We start from the raw sequence: 19,995 nt of genomic DNA, 5'->3' as shown, positions 1-19,995 counted from the left end.
CAAAAAAAAAAAAAAGTTAAGCAAACCTTAACGTTTAGGATAAAAGAAAATATTACTAAAACAGAAGGTCAGCCGGGCGCGGTGGCTCACACCTGTAATCCCAGCACTTTGGGAGGCCAAGGCGGGCGGATCACGAGGTCAGGAGATCGAGACCATCCTGGCTAACACGGTGAAACCCCGTCTTTACTAAAAATACAAAAAAATTAGCCGGGCGTGGTGGCAGGCGACTGTAGTCTCAGCTACTTGGGAGGCTGAGGCAGGAGAATGGCGTGAACCTGGGAGGCATAGCTTGCAGTGAGCTGAGATCGCGCCACTGCACTCCAGCCTGGGCAACAGAGCAAGACTCCATCTCAAAACAACAACAACAAAAACAAAAAACAGAAAGTCAGGAAGTAAACAGAATATTCATGTTCATTCAGGAAAGATTTTTTTTAAATGAAAACTAATTAGGACATGCATTTAATGAATTACTTTTTTTGCGTGTGTGTGTGATATAATCTCCCTCTGTCACTCAGGCTGGAGTGCAGTGGTGTGGTCTCAGCTCCTTGCAACCTCTGCCTTCCAGATTCAAGCAATTTTCTCTCCTCAGCCTCCCAAGTAGTTGGGATTACAGGTGCCTGCCAATACGCCCAGCTAATTTCTTTTTCTTTTTCTTTTCTTTCTGTTTTTTTTTTTTTTTTTTTGAGATGGAGTCTTGCTCTGTCGCCCAGGCTGGAGTGCAGAGGCACAATCTCAGCTCACTGCAACCTCTGCCTCCCGCATTAAAGCGATTCTCCTGCCTCAGCCTCCCAAGTAGCTGGGATTACAGGTGCCTGCCACCACACCTGGCTAATTTTTGTATTTTTAGTAGAGATGGGGTTTCACCGTGTTGGCCAGGATGGTCTCGATCTCCTGACCTTGTGAGCCACCCGCCTCAGCCTCCCAAAGTGCTGGGATTACATGCGTGAACCACTGCGCCCCACCATCACCCAGCTAATTTCTTTTGTATTTTTAGTAGAGATGGGTTTTGCCATATTGGCCAGGCTAGTCTCGAACTCACTCCTGACCTCAGGTGATCCACCCACCTCAGCCTCCCAAAGTGTTGGGTTTATAGGCGTGAGCCACCGCGCCCGGCCTACATATTTTTTTAAATGGGAAATTTTAGAACAAATTTGCTGTGTGTTGTATTTTGGAAACAGTTAAGCCACTAGAGTAAGATGTTCTTACAATTCAGCCAACATGAGAGTAAATCACTGGTTTTTATTCTTGGGAAATGTGACCTACTATGAAAGCACTTGTATTAATGTCAAGAAAAGTGGTACAATGACAGAGGCAATGAGAAAGTGGTTTTCCTCATTAGAATCATTTTCATAGAGAAAGAAAAGCTGGAGAATAAGGTCTTGTCCATTTTTTTCCAAGAGAAGAGAAACAGGTTAGATGACAGTAGCACCAGTAGCCAGCTGAGCCTCATGGTCAAGAGCAGTGATTACAGGAAAAAGAGGCAGGCCTGGTTGGAATCCTAGCTATGCCAATTTAACTCTGGACAAATTGGTTGACCTCTTGTCTTCTTCTTTGTAAAACAGTCATAGTAATTCTGTTTATCTCCCAAAATTGTTTTGAGAATTATTTTAAGAAAACATGTTTTTAAAAAGCCTGGTACACAGTAAGCATTCAACAAATGGTAACATCAAAGAAAAACAAATAAACAAACTTGTTCTTTATACAGAAATATTTTTACAGCTCAGAATGGCATCTTATCATGCTATTTTAGCATGGTGGAAATATTTCTTAAGAACCTGTAACTGTCATCTAAAATTCTACATACTCTAACTAGCCTCCTATAGTCTATTTTTTTTGAAGAGGTATTAACTCAAATCCAATAACAAATATCTTACAGAAGAAAAAATACATCTTCATTCTTATAAAATAAACCATTACTGTTTATGCATGCTAAAGTTTATTGTAAAATATGTTATTGGTATCAAAATCACCAGTGCTTTATTCTTCAGTGAGCTGATAAAATCAATTTTCCGAAACCAAAAAGTAAGAAAAATTTGGTTCTGAAATTTGGTGTATTTACCAAAATGTGACACTTAGTGAACCTCAAACAATCAGCTGGTTGTATCCATTTCTTTACTGGGAAAAGCAATAGAATGACTTGCTTTCTGAAGGTATGAATAGTCAGTTTATTAGTGCGGTGCTTTGCCTAGAAGCATTAGTTACTTTGATGAAAACAATTCCTACCCTGGTTTCCTTCATGGAGTGAGAATATTACCACCTATCCCTTTTTACCTTGGGTTATGATAAAAAGAGATCTGAGTTCAACAGGGATCAATACAGCATTTATTTTTACTGATAAAGGGCTACCTCAGGGATAGACGTGAAGTCTTTAATGCTTAAGAATAACAGTGTTACTGCCTGATCCTCATGTTAGTTGACAAATATTGCCAAGTGTCTGTAGCCATTCCTTGGGAGCTAGAGGTCTCAGGGCCAAATGCACTGTGTTCTTATGTTCTCCCACACGAGTGCATTTAGAGATGAAATCAGCTTGAAAAGAACATTAAGAACAGCCTTCAAGGGGGGAATGAAGTCATAGCCAGGCAGTTTTATCCCTTTGCCTTGGTGATAGACTATGTTTTGTGCTCACTACATGCAAATGTCTCTGGGCTTTAAAAAGAAATATTTTTTCCATAAGAATAGGCAATAAAAAAGAAGAGTAGAAAAAGGAAAAAAGAGTGTTTTTATTTGCCACGCTAATATAATTACTATGAGCACTTTTATGTCATCATTCAGTTTTTACAAATCTGTAAAATAATGAAAAATTATTTTTTATTCTGCTCATTCTATTCAAAATCATAACAAATATTTTCCATGTTATAACATAATCTTTATAAGCATGTTTAATAATGCTATAGTATATAATATTTTACTGATGGAGTTAGCATAATTTATTTAACCACTCTTTAGTTATTTTTAGTTTTTAAAGTTGTTTCCATGTTTTCCTTTGCTCATACAAATAGTGCTGATGTAAATATCATTCTGCTGATATAATATCAGCCTTTGCTATTTCAGATTTCTTACCTTAAGATACACTCCCAAGAGCTGAATTTCAGGGTCCAAGAGCCTAAGATAGATTCCTGCAGGATTTTTTTTAGTAGATGATAAAGAACCACTTTCTCCTAATAAAATCCTAATCAGCTCTTTAAAATCTGGTGTTGAAGCCTGGACTGAGGAGCCATATTTTAGGAATGGCAACAGGGCATGTCAGAACTGTGGAGCTGGTATTCTGTTACTTATATTTGTTATCTTAGCAGCAGCACAGCTAGGAGAAAATGCTAACCTTCAATGCTGCTCTTCTGATGCCTGAGAGGAGTTTAACAGAAAATTGAACATATTTTCAACTTGATGAATTTCTCAAGAAGAGAGAGAGGAACTAACATTTATTGAGTGCCTATTTGGCTCCAGGTGCAGTGATTGTTATTTCAAATTTATTATTATTGGAATGACATAGTGGGATTTGTTGCCTGAATTGTAGCACTCATCTATTTTCCCCAACAGGGTTTTCTCATCAACAGAGTATAGCTGCAGAGAATGGAGTCATACAGCGCCCAGTGTCTTAGCCATACTGCTAAAACTGGGTTGAGCTATGTGAAATGCGTCCTAATTCCCTCCAAGCCTAGACTTTGGAATCCAAGTGTCACTGATCTGCCTATAGCAGAGAAGCTGGGGTTGACAAAGTAGGCCTCTCTTGGTCTGCTTCTCACATAAAAATTAAAAACACAGGTACTCACTGTGTAAGCAGGCAGGCCTGAGAGAATGAAAGAGAGACTATCACCTGTCCACCTGGCAGCGTGGTGTTTTGCCTTCTGGTCAACATAGTTCTATGGAGAGGGGCCTCTCTGTAAATCCAATCAGGTCAGGCACTTCTCCTCCCCTGGGGAAGGACTGGGACAGGGAAGCAGTGTCCTCATGGAAACTGAGGAAGAGATCTAGGATTCAGATCCCTCACTCCTCCAAATTATCACAAATAGTCTTTGAAATAATACTGTGAGAATTAGAATCATATTTGTAGGTAAAGAAGCTGAGATTTAGATATGTTAAGCAATTTCGTAAGGTCACACAGTTAAGTGGCAAGTGGCTGAGTCGACATGCAAACTTTGGTGTGTGAGACCCCAAGGTCCATGTTCCTTCCATTGTGCCGTTGAGTGCTCCTGCCTTCATGAGCCCCACCTCCCCCAAGTACATTTGTATTTTAGTACAGGCTTTCTGCAGACATAATCACTTAAAAGATGGTAATGACTCTCATGGTGGGAATTTCAGCCATCTTGGTATATCAGAGGGGGTGAGATTTGGTGCAATTTGGCCTTTTGACATTTCTCAAATGATAAGCTTATATGTAACATTTAGAATTGATATAGTGATCAGCTCAAGCTCAAGATAGAAAAAACTGAGAGATAAAAATCAATGCTTAGAATCTAAGACAAATTTTGTCCTGAGAAATACTTATGAGTCTTTTTATTGTTATATAGTTATATGATTTCAACTTAAAACATTAGACTTTATGACCTAATGATCTATAACAAATTATATTGCTTCATGCTTCATACATTTCATAGGAAATTTTTGAAAATAGACTTTATTTTAAAGCAGTCTTAGGTTTATAGCAAACTGGAGTGGAAGGTACAGAGGTTTCACATATTCCCCCTGTCCCCACACATGCACATCCTCCCCCATTGTCAACATCCCCTCCCAGAGTGGTAGATTTGTTACAATTAATGAACCTGCATTGACATATCATTACTACCCAAAGCCCATTAGGGTACACTGTTGGTGTTGTACATTCTATAGATTTGAACAAATGTATAATGACATATGTCCACCATTATAGTGTCATACAGAGTAGTCTCACTGTCCTAAACATCCTCCGCACTCTGCCTACTCATTCCTCCCTACTAATCTCTCCTTCCTCCTAATTCCTGGGAACCACTGTCCTTTCTACTATCTCCATAGTTTTGCCTTTTCAGAACGTCATGTAGTTGGAATCATACAGTATGTTATCTTTACGGAATGCCTTCTCTCCCTTAGTAATGTACATTTAAGTTTCTTCAATGTCTTTTCATGGCTTGATAATTCATTTCCTTTAAGCAGTAAATAATATCCCGTTGTCTGGATGTACTATAGTTTATTTCCTCATTCATCTACTAAAGGACATTTTGGTTGCATCCACATTTTGGCAATTATGAATAAAGTTGCTGTAAATATCCGTGTGTAGGTTTTTGTGCGGACATAAGTTTTCAACTCCTTTGAGTAAATACCAAGGAGTGCAATTGCTGGATCTTATGACAAGAGTATGTCTAGTTTTGTAAGAAACTGCCAAACTGTCTTCCAAAGTGGCTGTGTCATTTTGCCTTCTCACCAGCAATGAATGAGAGTTCCTGTTGTTCCACATACTTGCTAGCATTTGGTGTTGTCAGTGTTCTGGATTTTGGCCATTCTGATAGGTATGTAGTAGTATCTTGCTTTAATTTGGATTTCCTTATTGACATATGACATGGAACAGCTTTTCATATGCTTACTTGCCATCTGTGTATTTTCTTTGCTGAGGTGTCTGTTAAGGTCTTTGGCCAATTTCTTAATTGTATATTTTGGTAACAGTCCGCTATGAGATATATTGTTTGCAAGTATTTCCTCCCAGTTGTGGCTTATCTTTTCTTTTTTTTTCTTTTTCTTTTTCTTTTTCTTTTTTTTTTTTTTTTTTTGAGAGAGGGCCTTGTTCTGTCGCCCAGGCTGGAGTGCAGTGGCGCGATCTCGGCTCACTGCAAGCTCCGCCTCCCGGGTTCACGCCATTCTCCTGCCTCAGCCTCCCAAGTAGCTGGGACTACAGGCGCCAGCCACCGCGCCCAGCTAATTTTTTTGTAGTTTTAGTAGAGACGGAGTTTCACCGTGTTAGCCAGGATGGCTTATCTTTTCATTCTCTTTTGCAGAGCAGAAATTTTAAATTTTAATGAGTTTTAAACTCTCAGACATGTCCACACTGAACCTCCTGCAATTTGCAATTATAGTTTAAGTTTTCCTACTTCCATGCTGGTTCCCATGAAAGTTTCTGCTTGATGTTTTCTGGTTTGGTACATTGTGACTCAATTTTGGGGGCAGTGGTTTGCCCTCTGACCTCTCTTCTCTTATGAATTTAAGAAGTGTTGTTGATTTTTCAGTTTTCTCAGCCTTTTACTTGTTGTTAGGATGCAGTGGTGACTTCCAAGCCCCTTACATGTCAGGCTAGCCATGCTTGGCTTTTAAATAATGCGAGGAATAAAAATTTAAAATATGCCTTTCAAAGAAAACAATAGGAATACTCATTAATTATAGTTTCTAAATTCTTTAATTTTGTAATCTAAATGCTTTTCTGAATTAAAAAAATTTTACAATGGTAACCATTTTTTAGATTATAAAATAATATGTTACTTCCCAAAAAATGGGATAGTATATTAAGTAGAAATAGCATCAATAATCCCATCATCATAAACAATCACTTTTATAATTTCTTCTCTATTTCTTGTCTTTTTAAAAAAAAAACAAACAAACAACTGTTGCCCCCCCCCCACCTTTTTTTTTCCTCTATGTAATATCAACAGTCTTTCAATTCTTCCACTGGAGCTCTGGGTTCCATAATCCATTTTCTCAGGAGTCTGCTTCCATCAGTTGCTCTTCTTCTCTTGAATTTTTCTTCTTTCTGGGTTTTTAGCATATGAACATGCTGTATTAGTCAAGGATATGTGCCTTTTTCTGTAAACATTTGTTCTAACACAGATGTGTTCTTTCCAACTCTAAGTAAAGACCCTTCCCCCTGTCAGAAGAGATCTCTTCATGGATCTCTTGTATTCCTACATGTCTTCTGGGTGTTTCAAACCTGACTGCCCTTTTACATGGATCATTTCTCAGATGAGAGTAGGCTTCGTTACCGCTTCTGTAGATGGAGTGGATTCCCGATGCTCAGTGTTTCTCAAGTGCAGCGCAAACTCACTGCATGCACAGAATCCATCTGAGCCCATTGCATCATCAAGACTCTGCAGTACTGGCAAAACAGACATATGTATCAATATATCTCAATAGAACTAAGAGCCCAGAAACAAACCCATACATTTGTGGTCAATTGATTTTCAACAAAGAAGCCAAAACAATTTAGTGGGAAAGAAGTGTTTTCAACAAATGGTGCTAGGACACCTGGATATCCACATGGTAAAGAATGAATTTGGGTCTCTATTCACACCACATACAAAAATTAAGTCAGAATGAATCAACGACATAAATATATCTATCTAAGAAGAAAATATAGGTGCAAATCTTCATGATTTTGGATTAGGCAATGGTCTCTTAGATATTTAGATATAATACCAAAGATAGAAACAACCAAAGAAGAAATAAATAAAACAGGCTTCATCAGAATTAAACAGCTTTGTTTTTATAAAAACACTGTCAAGAGGCCAGGTGCAGTGGCTCATGCCTGTAATCCCAGAACTTTGGGAGCCTAAGGCGGGCGGATCACTTGAGGTCAGGAGTTTGAGACCAGCCTGGCCAACATGGCAAAATGCTGTCTCTACTAAAAATACAAAAATTAGTTGGGTGTGGTGGTGGGTGCCTGTAATCCCAGCTGCTCCGGAGGCTGAGACAGGAGAATCATTTGAATCTGGGAGGTGGAGGCTGCAGTGAGCCGAGTTTGCGCCATTGCACTCCAACCTGGGCAACAGTGTGGAGTGTTTCCATCTCAAAAAGAAAAAAAAAAAAAAAAAAGAACACTATCAAGAAAGTGACCAGACAACACACCGAAAAGAAAAAAATACTTGAAAAACATATGTCTGATAAGGGTCTAGTGTCCAGAATATATTTAAAAACCCTTATAATTCAACATCAACCAAGTAACCCAATTGTTAAAAATGGCCAAAGACATTTATGCAAAGAAGTTATGCAAATGACCTGCAAGCACATAAAAGGCTGCTGCACATTATTAGCTGCTAGGAAAATACAAATAATACAGTATTGTGGTTATGTTGAAAGAGATTCCTTATTAAATAAGGAATACAAATATTTATGATAAAATGATATGATATTTGTGATTGGCTTCAAAATAATATGGGATGGGGAGAATTGGGTAGAAGTTAAATGAATATAAGTGACCAAAATTGATACTTGTTGAAGTTGGGTAATATAGATAAATGGGAGTTCACTATACTCTTTACTGATTTTATATATATTTGAAATTTGAAACAAAGATTCATAGGATTCTAGGGAATTATTTTAATTGTTGAGTTCCTAGTTGCTTATCTATTTTTATTTTTTTGGAGACAGGGTCTCTCTCTGTCACCCAGGCTGGAGTGCAGTTGCATGATCATAGCTCACTGCAACCTCAAACTCGTGGGCTCAAGCCATCATGCCACCTAAGCCTCCCAAGTAGCTAGGACTATAGGTGCCAAATAATTGGGACAATAAAAATGGAAACTAGATTTATTTTTAAAGTCAATAAATTATGTAACCACTGATTAAGTAAAACATAATCACAGATACCTAGTGAAACATATAAATTATCTGAAATGACCCAAGAGGAGGCAGATATGTTTACACTGACTACTGTGTAAGAACTAGGAAAGGTTCTTAAAGATAACCATAAAAAGTTTTCAAGTCCAGATTGTTTTATATCTGAATTCAACCTAACTTTCTTTTATATATATTACATATATATATTTTATATATATATATATTTTTATTATACTTTAAGTTCTAGGGTATATGTGCACAACATCCAGGTTTGTTACATATGTATACATGTGCCATGTTGGTGTGCTGCACCCATTAACTCATAATTTACATTAGGTATATCTCCTAATGCTATCCCTACCCACTCCCCCCACCCCACAACAGGCCCCAGTGTGTGATGTTCCCTTTCCTGTGTCCAAGTGTTCTCATTTTTCAGTTCCCACCTATGAGTGACAACATGGGGTGTTTGGTTTTTTATCCTTGCAATAGTTTGCTGAGAATGATGGTTTCCAGCTTCATCCATGTCCCTACAAAGGACATGAACTCATCATTTTTATGGCTGCATAGTATTCCGTGGTGTATATGTGCCACATTTTCTTAATCTAGTCTATCATTGTTGGACATTTGAGTTGGTTCCAAGTCTTTGCTATTGTGAGTAGTGCCGCAATAAACGTGTGTGTGTGTCTTTATAGCAGCATGATTTATATTCCTTTGGGTACATACCTAGTAATGGGATTGCTGGGTCACATTGTATGTCTAGTTCTAGATCCCCGAGGAATCGCCACACTGTCTTCCACAATGGTTGAACTAGTTTACAGTCCTACCAACAGTGTAAAAGTGTTCCTATATCTCCACATCCTCTCCAGCACCTGTTGTTTCCTGACTTTTTAATGATCGCCATTCTAACTGGTGTGAGATGATATCTCATTGTGGTTTTGATTTGCATTTATCTGATTGCCAGTGATGATGAGCATTTTTTCGTGTCTGTTGGTTACATAAATGTCTTCTTTTGAGAAGTGTCTGTTCATATCCTTCGCCCACTTTTTGATGGGGTTTTTTTTTTCTTGTAATTTGTTTGAGTTCTTTGTAGATTCTGGATATTAGCCCTTTGTCACATGAGTAGTTTGTAAAAATTTTCTCCCATTCTGTAGGTTGCCTGTCTACTCTGATGGTAGTTTCTTTTGCTGTGCAGAAGCTCTTTAGTTTAATTAGATCCCATTTGTCAATTATGGCTTTTGTTGCCATTGCTTTTGGTGTTTTAGACATGAAGTCCTTGCCCATGCCTATGTCCTGAATGGTATTGCCTAGGTTTTCTTCTAGGGTTTTTATGGTTTTAGGTCTAACATGTAAGTCTTTAATCCATCTTTAATTAATTTTTGTATAAGGTGCAAGGAAGGGATCCAGTTTCAGCTTTCTACATATGGCTAGCCAGTTTTCCCAGCACCATTTGTTAACTAGAGAATACTTTCCCTATTTCTTGTTTTTGTCAGGTTTGTCAAAGATCAGACGGTTGTAGATGTGTGGTATTATTTCTGAGGGCTTTGTTCTGTTCCATTGGTCTATATCTCTGTTTTGGTACCAGTACCGTGCTGTTTTGGTTACTGTAGCCTTGTAGTATAGTTTGAAGTCAGGTAGTGTGATGCGTCCAGCTTTGTTCTTTTGGCTTAGGATTGACTTGGTGATGTGGGCTCTTTTTTGGTCCCATATGAACTTTAAAGTAGTTTTTTCCAATTCTGTGAAGAAAGTCATTGGTAGCTTGATGGGGATGGCATTGAATCTATAAATTACCTTGGGCTGTATGGCCATTTTCACAATATTGAGTCTTCCTACCCATGAGCATGGAATGTTCTTCCATTTGTTTGTGTCCTCTTTTATTTCGTTGAGCAGTGGTTTGTAGATCTCCTTGAAGAGGTCCTTCACATCCCTTGTAAGTTGGATTCCTAGGTATTTTATTCTCTTTGAAGCAATTGTGAATGGGAGTTCACTCATGATTTGGCTCTCTGTTTGTCTGTTATTGGTGTATAAGAATGCTTGTGATTTTTGTACATTGATTTTGTATCTGAGACTTTGCTGAAGTTGCTTATCAGCTTAAAGAGATTTTGGGCTGAGATGATGGGTTTTTCTAGATATACAATCATGTCATCTGCAGACAGGGACAATTTGACTTCCTCTTTTCCTAATTGAATACCCTTTATTTCTTTCTCTTGCCCGATTGCCCTGGCCAGAACTTCCAACACTATGTTGAATAGGAGTGGTGAGAGAGGGCATCCCTGTCTTGTGCCAGTTTTCAAAGGGAATGCTTCCAGTCTTTGCCCATTCAGTATGATATTGGCTGTGGGTTTGTCATACATAGCTCTTATTATTTTGAGATACATCCCATCAATACCTAATTTATTGAGAGTTTTTAGCATGAAGCGCTGTTGACTTTTGTCAAAGGCCTTTTCTGCATCTATTGAGATAATCATGTGGTTTTTGTCTCTGGTTCTATTTACATGCTGGATTACGTTTATTGATTTGCGTATGTTGAACCAGCCTTGCATCCCAGGGATGAAGCCCACTTGATCATCGTGGATAAGCTTTTTGATGTCGTGCTGGATTCCATTTGCCAGTATTTTATTGAGGATTTTGCATCGATGTTCATCAAGGATATTGGTCTAAAATTTTATTTTTTTGTTGTGTCTCTGCCAGGCTTTGGTATCAGGATGATGCTGGCCTCATAAAATGAGTTAGGGAGGATTCCCTCTTTTTCTATTGATTGGAATAGTTTCAGAAGGAAGGGTACCAGCTCCTCCTTATACCTCTGGTAGAATTCGGCTGTGAATCCATCTGGTCCTGGACTTTTTTTGGTTGGTAAGCTGTTAATTATTGCCTCAATTTCAGAGCCTGTTATTGGTCTATTACGAGATTCTACTTCTTCCTGATTTAGTCTTGGGAGGGTGTATGTGTCAAGGAATTTATCCATTTCTTCTAAATTTTCTAGTTTATTTGCATAGAGGTGTTTATAGTATTCTCTGATGGTAGTTTGTATTTCTGTGGGATCGATGGTGATATCCCCTTTATCATTTTTTTATTGCATCTATTTGATTTTTTGCTCTTTTCTTCTTTATTAGTCTTGCTAGCGGTCTATCAATTTTGTTGATCTTTTCAAAAAACCAGCTACTGGATTCATTGATTTTTTGAAGGGTTTTTTGTGTCTCTATCTCCTTCAGTTCTGCTCTGATCTTAGTTATTTCTTGCCTTCTGCTAACTTTTGAATGTGTTTGCTCTTGCTTCTCTAGTTCTTTTAATTGTGATGTTAGGGTGTCAATTTTGGATCTTTCCTGCTTTCTCTTGTGGGCATTTAGCGCTATAAATTTCCCTCTACACACTGCTTTAAATGTGTCCCAGAGAGTCTGGTATGTTGTGTCTTTGTTCTCGTTGGTTTCAAAGAACATTTTTATTTCTGCCTTCATTTTGTTATGTACCCAGTAGTCATTCAGGAACAGGGTGTTCAGTTTCCATGTAGTTGAGCGGTTTTGAGTGAGTTTCTTAATCCTGAGTTCTAGTTTGATTGCACTGTGGTCTGAGAGACAGTTTGTTATAATTTCTGTTCTTTTACGTTTGCTGAGGAGTGCTTTACTTCCAACTATGTGGTCAATTTTGGAATAAGTGCGGTGTGGTCCTGAGAAGAATGTATATTCTGTTGATTTGGGTTTGACAGTTTTGTAGATGTCTATTAAGTCTGCTTGGTGCAGACCTGAGTTCAATTCCTGGATATCCTTGTTAACTTTCTGTCTCGCTGATCTCTCTAATGTTGACAGTGTGGTGTTAAAGTCTCCCATTATTCTTGTGTGGGAGTCTACGTCTCTTTGTAGTTCTCTAAGGACTTGCTTTATGAATCTGGGTGCTCCTGTATTGGGTGCATATATATTTAGGGTAGTTAGCTCTTCTTGTTGAATTGATCCCTTTATCATTATGTAATGGCCTTCTTTGTCCTTTTGATCTTTGTTGGTTTAAAGTCTGTTTTGTTAGAGACTAGGATTGCAACCCCTGCCTTTTTTTGTTTTCCATTTGCTTGGTAGATCTTCCTCCATCCCTTTATTTTGAATCCATGTGTGTCTCTGCATGTGAGATGGGTTTCCTGAATACAGCAGACTGATGGGTCTTGACTCTTTATCCAATTTGCCAGTCTGTGTCTTTTCATTGGAGCATTTAGCTCATTTACATTTAAGGTTAGTATTGTTATGTGTGAATTTGATCCTGTCATTATGATGTTAGCTGGTTATTCTGCTCGTTAGTTGATGCAGTTTCTTCCTAGCCTTGATGGTCTTTACAATTTGGCATGTTTTTGCAGTGGCTGATACCGGTTGTTCCTTTCCATGTTTAGTGCTTCCTTCAGGAGCTCTTGTAGGGTAGGCCTAGTGGTGACAAAATCTCTCGGCATTTGCTTGTGTGTAAAGTATTTTATTTCTCCTTCACTTATGAAGCTTAGTTTGGCTGGATATGAACTTCTGGGTTGAAAATTGTTTTCTTTAAGAATGTTGTATATTGGCCCCCACTCTTTTCTGGCTTGTAGAGTTTCTGCCGAGAGATCAGCTGTTAGTCTGATGGGCTTCCCTTTGTGGGTAACCGGATCTTTCTCTCTGGCTCCCCTTAATGTTTTTTCCTTCATTTCAACTTTGGTGAATCTGACAATTTTGTGTCTTGGAGTTGCTCTTCTCAAGGAGTATCTTTGTTGCATTCTCTGTATTTCCTGAATTTGAATGTTGGCCTGCCTTGCTAGGTTGGGGAAGTTCTCCTGGATAATATCCTGCAGAATGTTTTCCAACTTGGTTCCATTCTCCCTGTCACTTTCAGGTACACCAGTCAGACCTAGATTTGGTCTTTTCACATAGTCCCATATTTCTTGGAGGCTTTGTTCATTTCTTTTTATTCCTTTTTCTCTAAACTTCTCTTCTCACTTCATTTCATTCATTTGATCTTCAATCAGTGATACCCTTTTTTCCAGTTGATCGAATCGGCTACGAAGCTTTTGCATTCATCGCATAGTTCTTGTGCCATGGTTTTCAGCTCCATCAGGTCCTTTAAGGACTTCTCTGCATTGGTTGTTCTAGTTAGCCATTCGTCTAATCTTTTTTCAAGGTTTTTAACTTGTTTGCGATGGGTTCGAACTTCCTTCAGCTTGGAGAAGTTTAATTGTCTGAAACCTTCTTCTCTCAACTCATCAAAGTCATTCTCCGTCCAGCTTTGTTTCGTTGCTGGTGAGGAGCTGCGTTCCTTTGGAGGAGGAGAGGTGCTCGATTTTTAGAATTTTCAGTTTTTCTGTTCTGTTTTTTCCCCATCTTTGTGGTTTTATCTACCTTTGGTCTTTGATATTGGTGACGTACAGATGGGGTTTTGGTGTGGATGTCCTTTCTGTTTGTTAGTTTTCCTTTTAACAGTCAGGACCCTCAGCTGCAGGTCTGTTGGAGTTTGCTGGAGGTCCACTCCAGACGCTGTTTGCCTGGGTATCAGCAGCAGAGGCTGCAGAACAGGGAATATTGCTGAACAGCGAATGTTGCTGTCTGATTGTTCCTCTGGAAGTTTCATCTCAGAGGGAAACCCAGCCCTGTGTGGTGTCAGTCTGCCCCTACTGGGGGGTGCCTCCCAGAAAGGCTACTTGGGGGTCAGGGACCCACTTGAGGAGGCAGTCTGTCCGTTCTCAGATCTCAAACTCCGTGCTGGGAGAACCACTACTCTCTTCAAAGCTGTCAGACAGGGACATTTAAGTCTGCAGAGGTTTCTGCTGCCTTTTGTTCAGCTATGCCCTGCCCTCAGAGATGGAGCCTACAGAGGCAGGCAGGCCTCCTTGAGCTGCGGTGGGCTCCACCTAGTTCAAGCTTCCCAGCGGGCTGCTTTGTTTACCTACTCAAGCCTCAGCAATGGCGGGCGCCCCTCCCCCAGCTTGGCTGCCGCCTTGAAGTTTGATCTCAGACTGCTTTGCTAGCACTGAGCGAGGCTCCATGGGCATGGGACCCTCCAAGCCATGCGCGGGATATAATCTCCTGGTGTGCCGTTTGCTAAGACCATTGGAAAAGCGCAGTATTAGGGTGGGAGTGACCCAATTTTCCAGGTGCTATCTGTCACAGCTTTGCATGGCTATGAAAGGGAATTCCCTGAGCCCTTGCGTTTCCCGGGTAAGGTGATGCCTTGCCCTGCTTTGGCTCATGCTCGGTGCACTGCACCCACTGTCCTGCATGCACTGTCCGACAAGCCCCAGTGAGATGAACCCGGTACCTCAGTTGGAAATGCAGAAATCACCTGTCTCTGCATTGCTCACACTGGGAGCTGTAGACTGGAGCTGTTCCTATTCGGCCATCTTGGAACCGCCTGTCAACCTAACTTTCAAATAACTTATAATTCCTCTATTACTTGCTATTTCAGACCAAAAATGGATGCAAAATGGCCACAATTAATTTTTTAAAGGCAACCTTAATTCTGAATACTAGTAAGAATAGTTCAAACAAAAATATACATGAATAGATATACATATCTAAATAAAATATTAGCAAATTAAATTTAACAATGTATTACAAGAGAAATAAACCATAAACAAGTACTTTTTTGCATTTCAAGGTTGAAAGATAGTTTAACCCTAGGAAATCTATTCATATAAGTCATTACCATAGCAGATTAAAGAAGAAAAATCATATAATTATATTAATAGATTTTTTTCATTTTTGTTATTGTTGTATATATTTGGAAGGTGTATTTTACTTCAGTTCTCTTCCTACTTTGCAGATGACTTCTGGAGTGATCAGAAAATTTTCCAGTCCATAAACTTGCCTATTGGAGGGGAAGGAAAAGAAGGGTATATAAAATATTTTTCAATTTTTCTGGAAGAGCAGGCTGTTAAGCCTGTTCAACTTGGTTCAAATCAAGCTCGTTATGTGGTACAGAATCATTATATGATATATGATGATTAAGATTGCTCTAATGACTAGTAGAATAGATTTTGTGTCTTATTAAAATGCATATTATCTTGGCAGGGATAATATATTCAGCTTCACTTGCCAATTAGCAGAGGAGACTTTTGTTAGGGAAGTGGAAAGAAAATATTGGACACATAAGATGGGGAGGAAGGTGCGTGATCAAAAAGCAAAAGCACTTTGATCAGTTTTGCTGATGTAACACTTTGGTTTAGGGTGAGCCTTGAATGTCTGTGCTCTAATCACAGAGGCCAGCAAGAAAGGGAAGGGCACACTCAGACAGAGTGCAGACAGGAGAGGAGATTTAGCACTCAGGCAGTCCCTCCCATGGTCCTAACTTTTGACAGGCGTTTTAATAATAGCAAGCACTGATTGTTCACAATTTGTAGATGAGTAGACTGAATTTTAGAGAGGTTAAATAACTTGCACAAAGTGACTCATCTATCAAAATGCCATGCCAAATTTTAATTCCAAGTTTGTATGACTCCAAAGTCAATGTTGTTTCCATTGAAATAATTAAAGAATAGTCAACTATGCCACTTTTTCAATAATGAGAATGAGTATTACATAAACATATTATACATAGCATACAAATACATCATTAGCTGATTTACTAAAAACTTCAGTGAGCTTCGAAAGCAGAGAATGTCCTTTTGTTAACTACAAAGACTAACAATAAGCAGTGGGGATTATTTTATTTCTTTAGTATATATAAGTTTAATTGGGCATTAAAAGCAGGCAAGCCATCTGTTTCTCTTTTGATAGTCAAGGTTTTACAAAGTTACTTTGTGGAGATATGTCTATCTGTTCTCTCTCTCTCTCTGTGTGTGTGTGTATATATATATGTATATGTTATATATTTATATATACTCTGAATATATATATATATTCAGAATAACCACAGTGCTGCTATTATTAAAATGCTTGTCAAAAGCTTGCATCATGCAAGGCACTTCTTAAATGCTAAATCTCCTCTTCTTTCTGCTGTCTCTCTGAATCTACCCCTCCCTTTCTCATTGGGAATGTATGAATGTGTCATTTATATACGTATATATGAATGACACCAATATAACCTAATACATCATTTAAGAAATTAATAATTTTAACATTTATATGGTTAATTAGAAATGATATGTTATATGGTCAATTAAAAATTATATGTTTTGAGATCAGGAATTCGAGACCAGCCTGGCCAACATGGCAAAATCCTGTCTCTACTAAAAATACAAAAAATAGCTGGGTGTGGTGGCGCATGCCTGTAATCCCAGCTGCTCGGGAGGCTGAGGCAAGAGAATCACTTGAATCCAGGACACGGAGGTTGCAGTGAGCTGAGATTGTGCCACTGCACTCCAGCCTGGGTGACATAGCAAGACTCCATCTCAAAAAAAAAAATTATATGTTTTGCATCTTTAAAAGCTTGTAGAATTTTCTTCTTCAGGAAAGTCTGTTCTTGACGTGATTACTTACATAAGGCTTGCAGTTTGGATTTGTAGTCTCTACTTCAAAGCAGAGTAATAAACTAGTGAGTTCTTTCTTGGTGAGAATTGTTTAGTTTAAATATTTATGTAGCTTATTTTTTCTCAGCTATTTAATTAGCAGCCTGTATTGGCTAGAAAATACAATAAAATGTATACTATATATAATACACAATGTACATATATTACATACGGTATTGTCAAGTAAATTTTCTTAGTATTTTTGGCAGTTTATTTTTGGAATGAAGCTTTAGAAATAGTTTTGGTGTATCATTTTTATATAATTTTTTTTAGGTATTACAAAATGATCCTCTGTTGAACCATTTTGCATTTCTTTTTTTTTTTTTTTTTGAGATGGAGTTTTGCTCTTGTTGCCCAGGCTGGAGTGCAATGGCGTGATCTCAGCTCACTGCAACCTCTGCCTCCCAGGTTCAAGCGATTCCCCTGCCTCAGCCTCTAAGGTATCTGGGATTACAGGCATGCGCCACCACACCCAGCTAATTTTTTTTGTATTTTTAGTAGAAATGGGGTTTCTCCATGTTGGTCTGGCTGGTCTCGATCTCCTGACCTCAGGTGATCCTCCTGCCTTGGCCTCCCAAAGGGTTGGAATTACAGACGTGAGCCCCCGCTCCCAGCCCCATTTTGCATTTCTATCAGCAGTTTGTTTCCTCAAAGCCTTACCAATAGATGCTGTTATCATATTTCTTGATTTTCAGGTCTTTACCTAAAAAGTAGTTAAGCCCTTTGCTAGTGAAAAGCTGCAAGCTTTTTTTCCTACTTGTTATTTTTCTTCATTGACTTTGTTTTGTTTTATTTTTATCGGTCATGATTTAAACAGTTTTTGATATAGTCAAATTTGTAAATCTTTTATTGTTTCTGTAGTTTGTATTTGGGGTTAGAAAACTTTCTCCACTTGCAGGATGTATAGAAATTCTAGTCTTGTACTTGTCTTTTTCCCATACTTGTATAGTTTCATTTTTTACCTTTGGATCTTTGATCCATTTGGAGTTTATTTTTTGGACTCAATTTTATCTTTTTCCACATTTAGAAAGTGTAGTCAGTTCCGCTATTATACTTGTTTTGAAAACACAAGTTGTTGGCCGGGCATGATGGCTCACTCCTGTAATCCCAGCACTTTGGGAGGCCGAGGTGGGTGGATCATGAGGTCAGGAGTTCAAGACCAGCCTGGCCAAGATGGTGAAACCCTGTCTCTACTAAAAGTACAAAAATTACAGCACGCCTGTAATCCCAGCTACTCAGGAGGTGAGGCAGGAGAATCGCTTGAACCTGGGGGGCGGAGGTTGCAGTGAGCCGAGATCGCACCACTGCACTCCAGCCTGGGCAACAGAGTGAGACTCCATCTCAAAAAAAAAAAAAAAGAAAAGAAAAAGAAAACACAAGTTGTTCCAATGCAATTCATATATTCCAATGCAATTCATATATGTTTGATCATAACACTAAATTTGCATTTTCTTATGCACAATTTTATGTTAGAAACATAAAACTCACACAAAAAACTTAACTGGGCTACCCTATGGAGGAGTACAACATGCACAGACACACCCCTACACACACACAGTCCTCAGACATCTACCTCAGTTCACTGCAATCTTATCTGATAAGGTTGTGTTTTGCTATTATTTTACACATTTGTAAACTTTTCTGTGTTAAACAACAACAACAACATTCATTTAACTTCCCACACATGCCTAAGCAGGCTGGTTCAAAAATGCTAAGCAGTGCATGAAAAAGAAAAACTAAATATTGGGTAAAGTCTTGACATAGTAAAAGTTTTGAGGGAAATGAGAAAATATGTGATATTGAAACCAGCCCAATTATTCCATAGAGCTGATATTTAGGGCTTCTTTGATTAAACATAGAAACTAAGCCTCCCAGTCTTAGAACTTGAGAAAGTTATAATTGTCTTATCTGAGCTCCTTTCTCAGGAAATGAACTCTCAGGAGTCCCAGATAGTATCAAGGAACTGAAACTTACTAGATCATTGCATCTGGAAAATAAGACACCAGACCCTTTATCCATCATGACTGCCTAACCTACTACCTGCTTCCTGTTGAGCAACATTTCTTCCTTACCCCTGCCTAATTACTGTTTCCCCACACATGTTTACATTTCTTCCCTGCTATATAAACCCCTACTTTTAGTTGGTCAGGAAGATAGATTTGAAACTGATCACCCATCTCCTCAGACACAGCTCCCGATTAAAGTCTTCTCAGGCAATGCTCATCTCAGTGATTGGCCTTCTGTGTGGCAAGCAACTGGACCTAGACCAAATGCCTGGTATTCCGTAACAATCTCTCTCAGGTAAAAGGCATATGGAAGTTCACATTGTAGACAGTCAGAAACTCCACAAAATAAAAGAAACATCGTGGCTGGAACAAGTTCAAGTGCTGTGAAGTCAATAAGAAAAGGAGGTCTCAAGAAATAGAAGAAATGGAAAAATTGTGGAATATAGATTGAAGACCAAACTGTGTTGAGAACAGCCTTTCTTATAATCAAAGAGAAAGAGTAGGCCGGGCATGGTGGCTCACGCCTGTAATCCCAGCACTTTGGGAGGCCGAGGTGAGCGGATCACGAGGTCAGGAGATGGAGACCATCCTGGCTAACACGGTGAAACCCCATCTCTACTAAAAATACAAAAAAATTAGCTGGGCGAGGTGGCGGGCGCCTGTAGTCCCAGCTACTCGGGAGGCTGAGGCAGGAGAATAGTGGGAACCCGGAAGGTGGAGCTTGCAGTGAGCCCAGATCGTGCCACTGCTCAGTGACAGAGCGAGACTCCATCTCAAAACAAAAAAACAAAGAGAAAGAGTAATCTATATACAAAGCAAAGACCTTAAGTAGATATTGACAAATCCTGAATAACTGTTTTTTTTTTTTTTTTAATTTAGAGGTGCTCGTTTGGCAATTTTAAACATCACTGTAGTGTTCAAAGTCTTCAGCTGTCAGGTTTTTTTTGTGCACAAAAAAGCCACGAAAGAATTTCCAGATAGGTATGGTGGCTCATGCCTGTAATCCCAGCACTTTGGGAGACTGAGGCAGGAGGATGG

General features: G+C 38.9%; 1 protein-coding gene and 1 long non-coding RNA gene across 2 annotated transcripts in view; both read left to right on the top strand.

Annotated features, from left to right (window-relative positions):
• PDE1A (phosphodiesterase 1A) overlaps positions 1-19,995 on the top strand; it is a 576,757-nt gene that overhangs the window by 15,393 nt on the left and 541,369 nt on the right. The gene's annotated exons all lie outside the window — the stretch shown is intronic.
• LOC101929976 (uncharacterized) overlaps positions 1-19,995 on the top strand; it is a 48,061-nt gene that overhangs the window by 13,206 nt on the left and 14,860 nt on the right. The window contains exon 2 of the long non-coding RNA XR_427200.3: positions 15,268-15,337. This is a non-coding gene — a long non-coding RNA (uncharacterized LOC101929976). The remainder of the gene's footprint in view (positions 1-15,267; positions 15,338-19,995) is intronic.

This window comes from Homo sapiens, chromosome 2 (genome assembly GCF_000001405.40).
Source record: "Homo sapiens chromosome 2, GRCh38.p14 Primary Assembly".
Taxonomy (NCBI): Eukaryota; Metazoa; Chordata; class Mammalia; order Primates; family Hominidae; genus Homo; species Homo sapiens.
The sequence above is the reverse complement of the archived record's forward strand: the minus strand, read 5'-3'. Positions and strand labels throughout refer to the sequence as shown.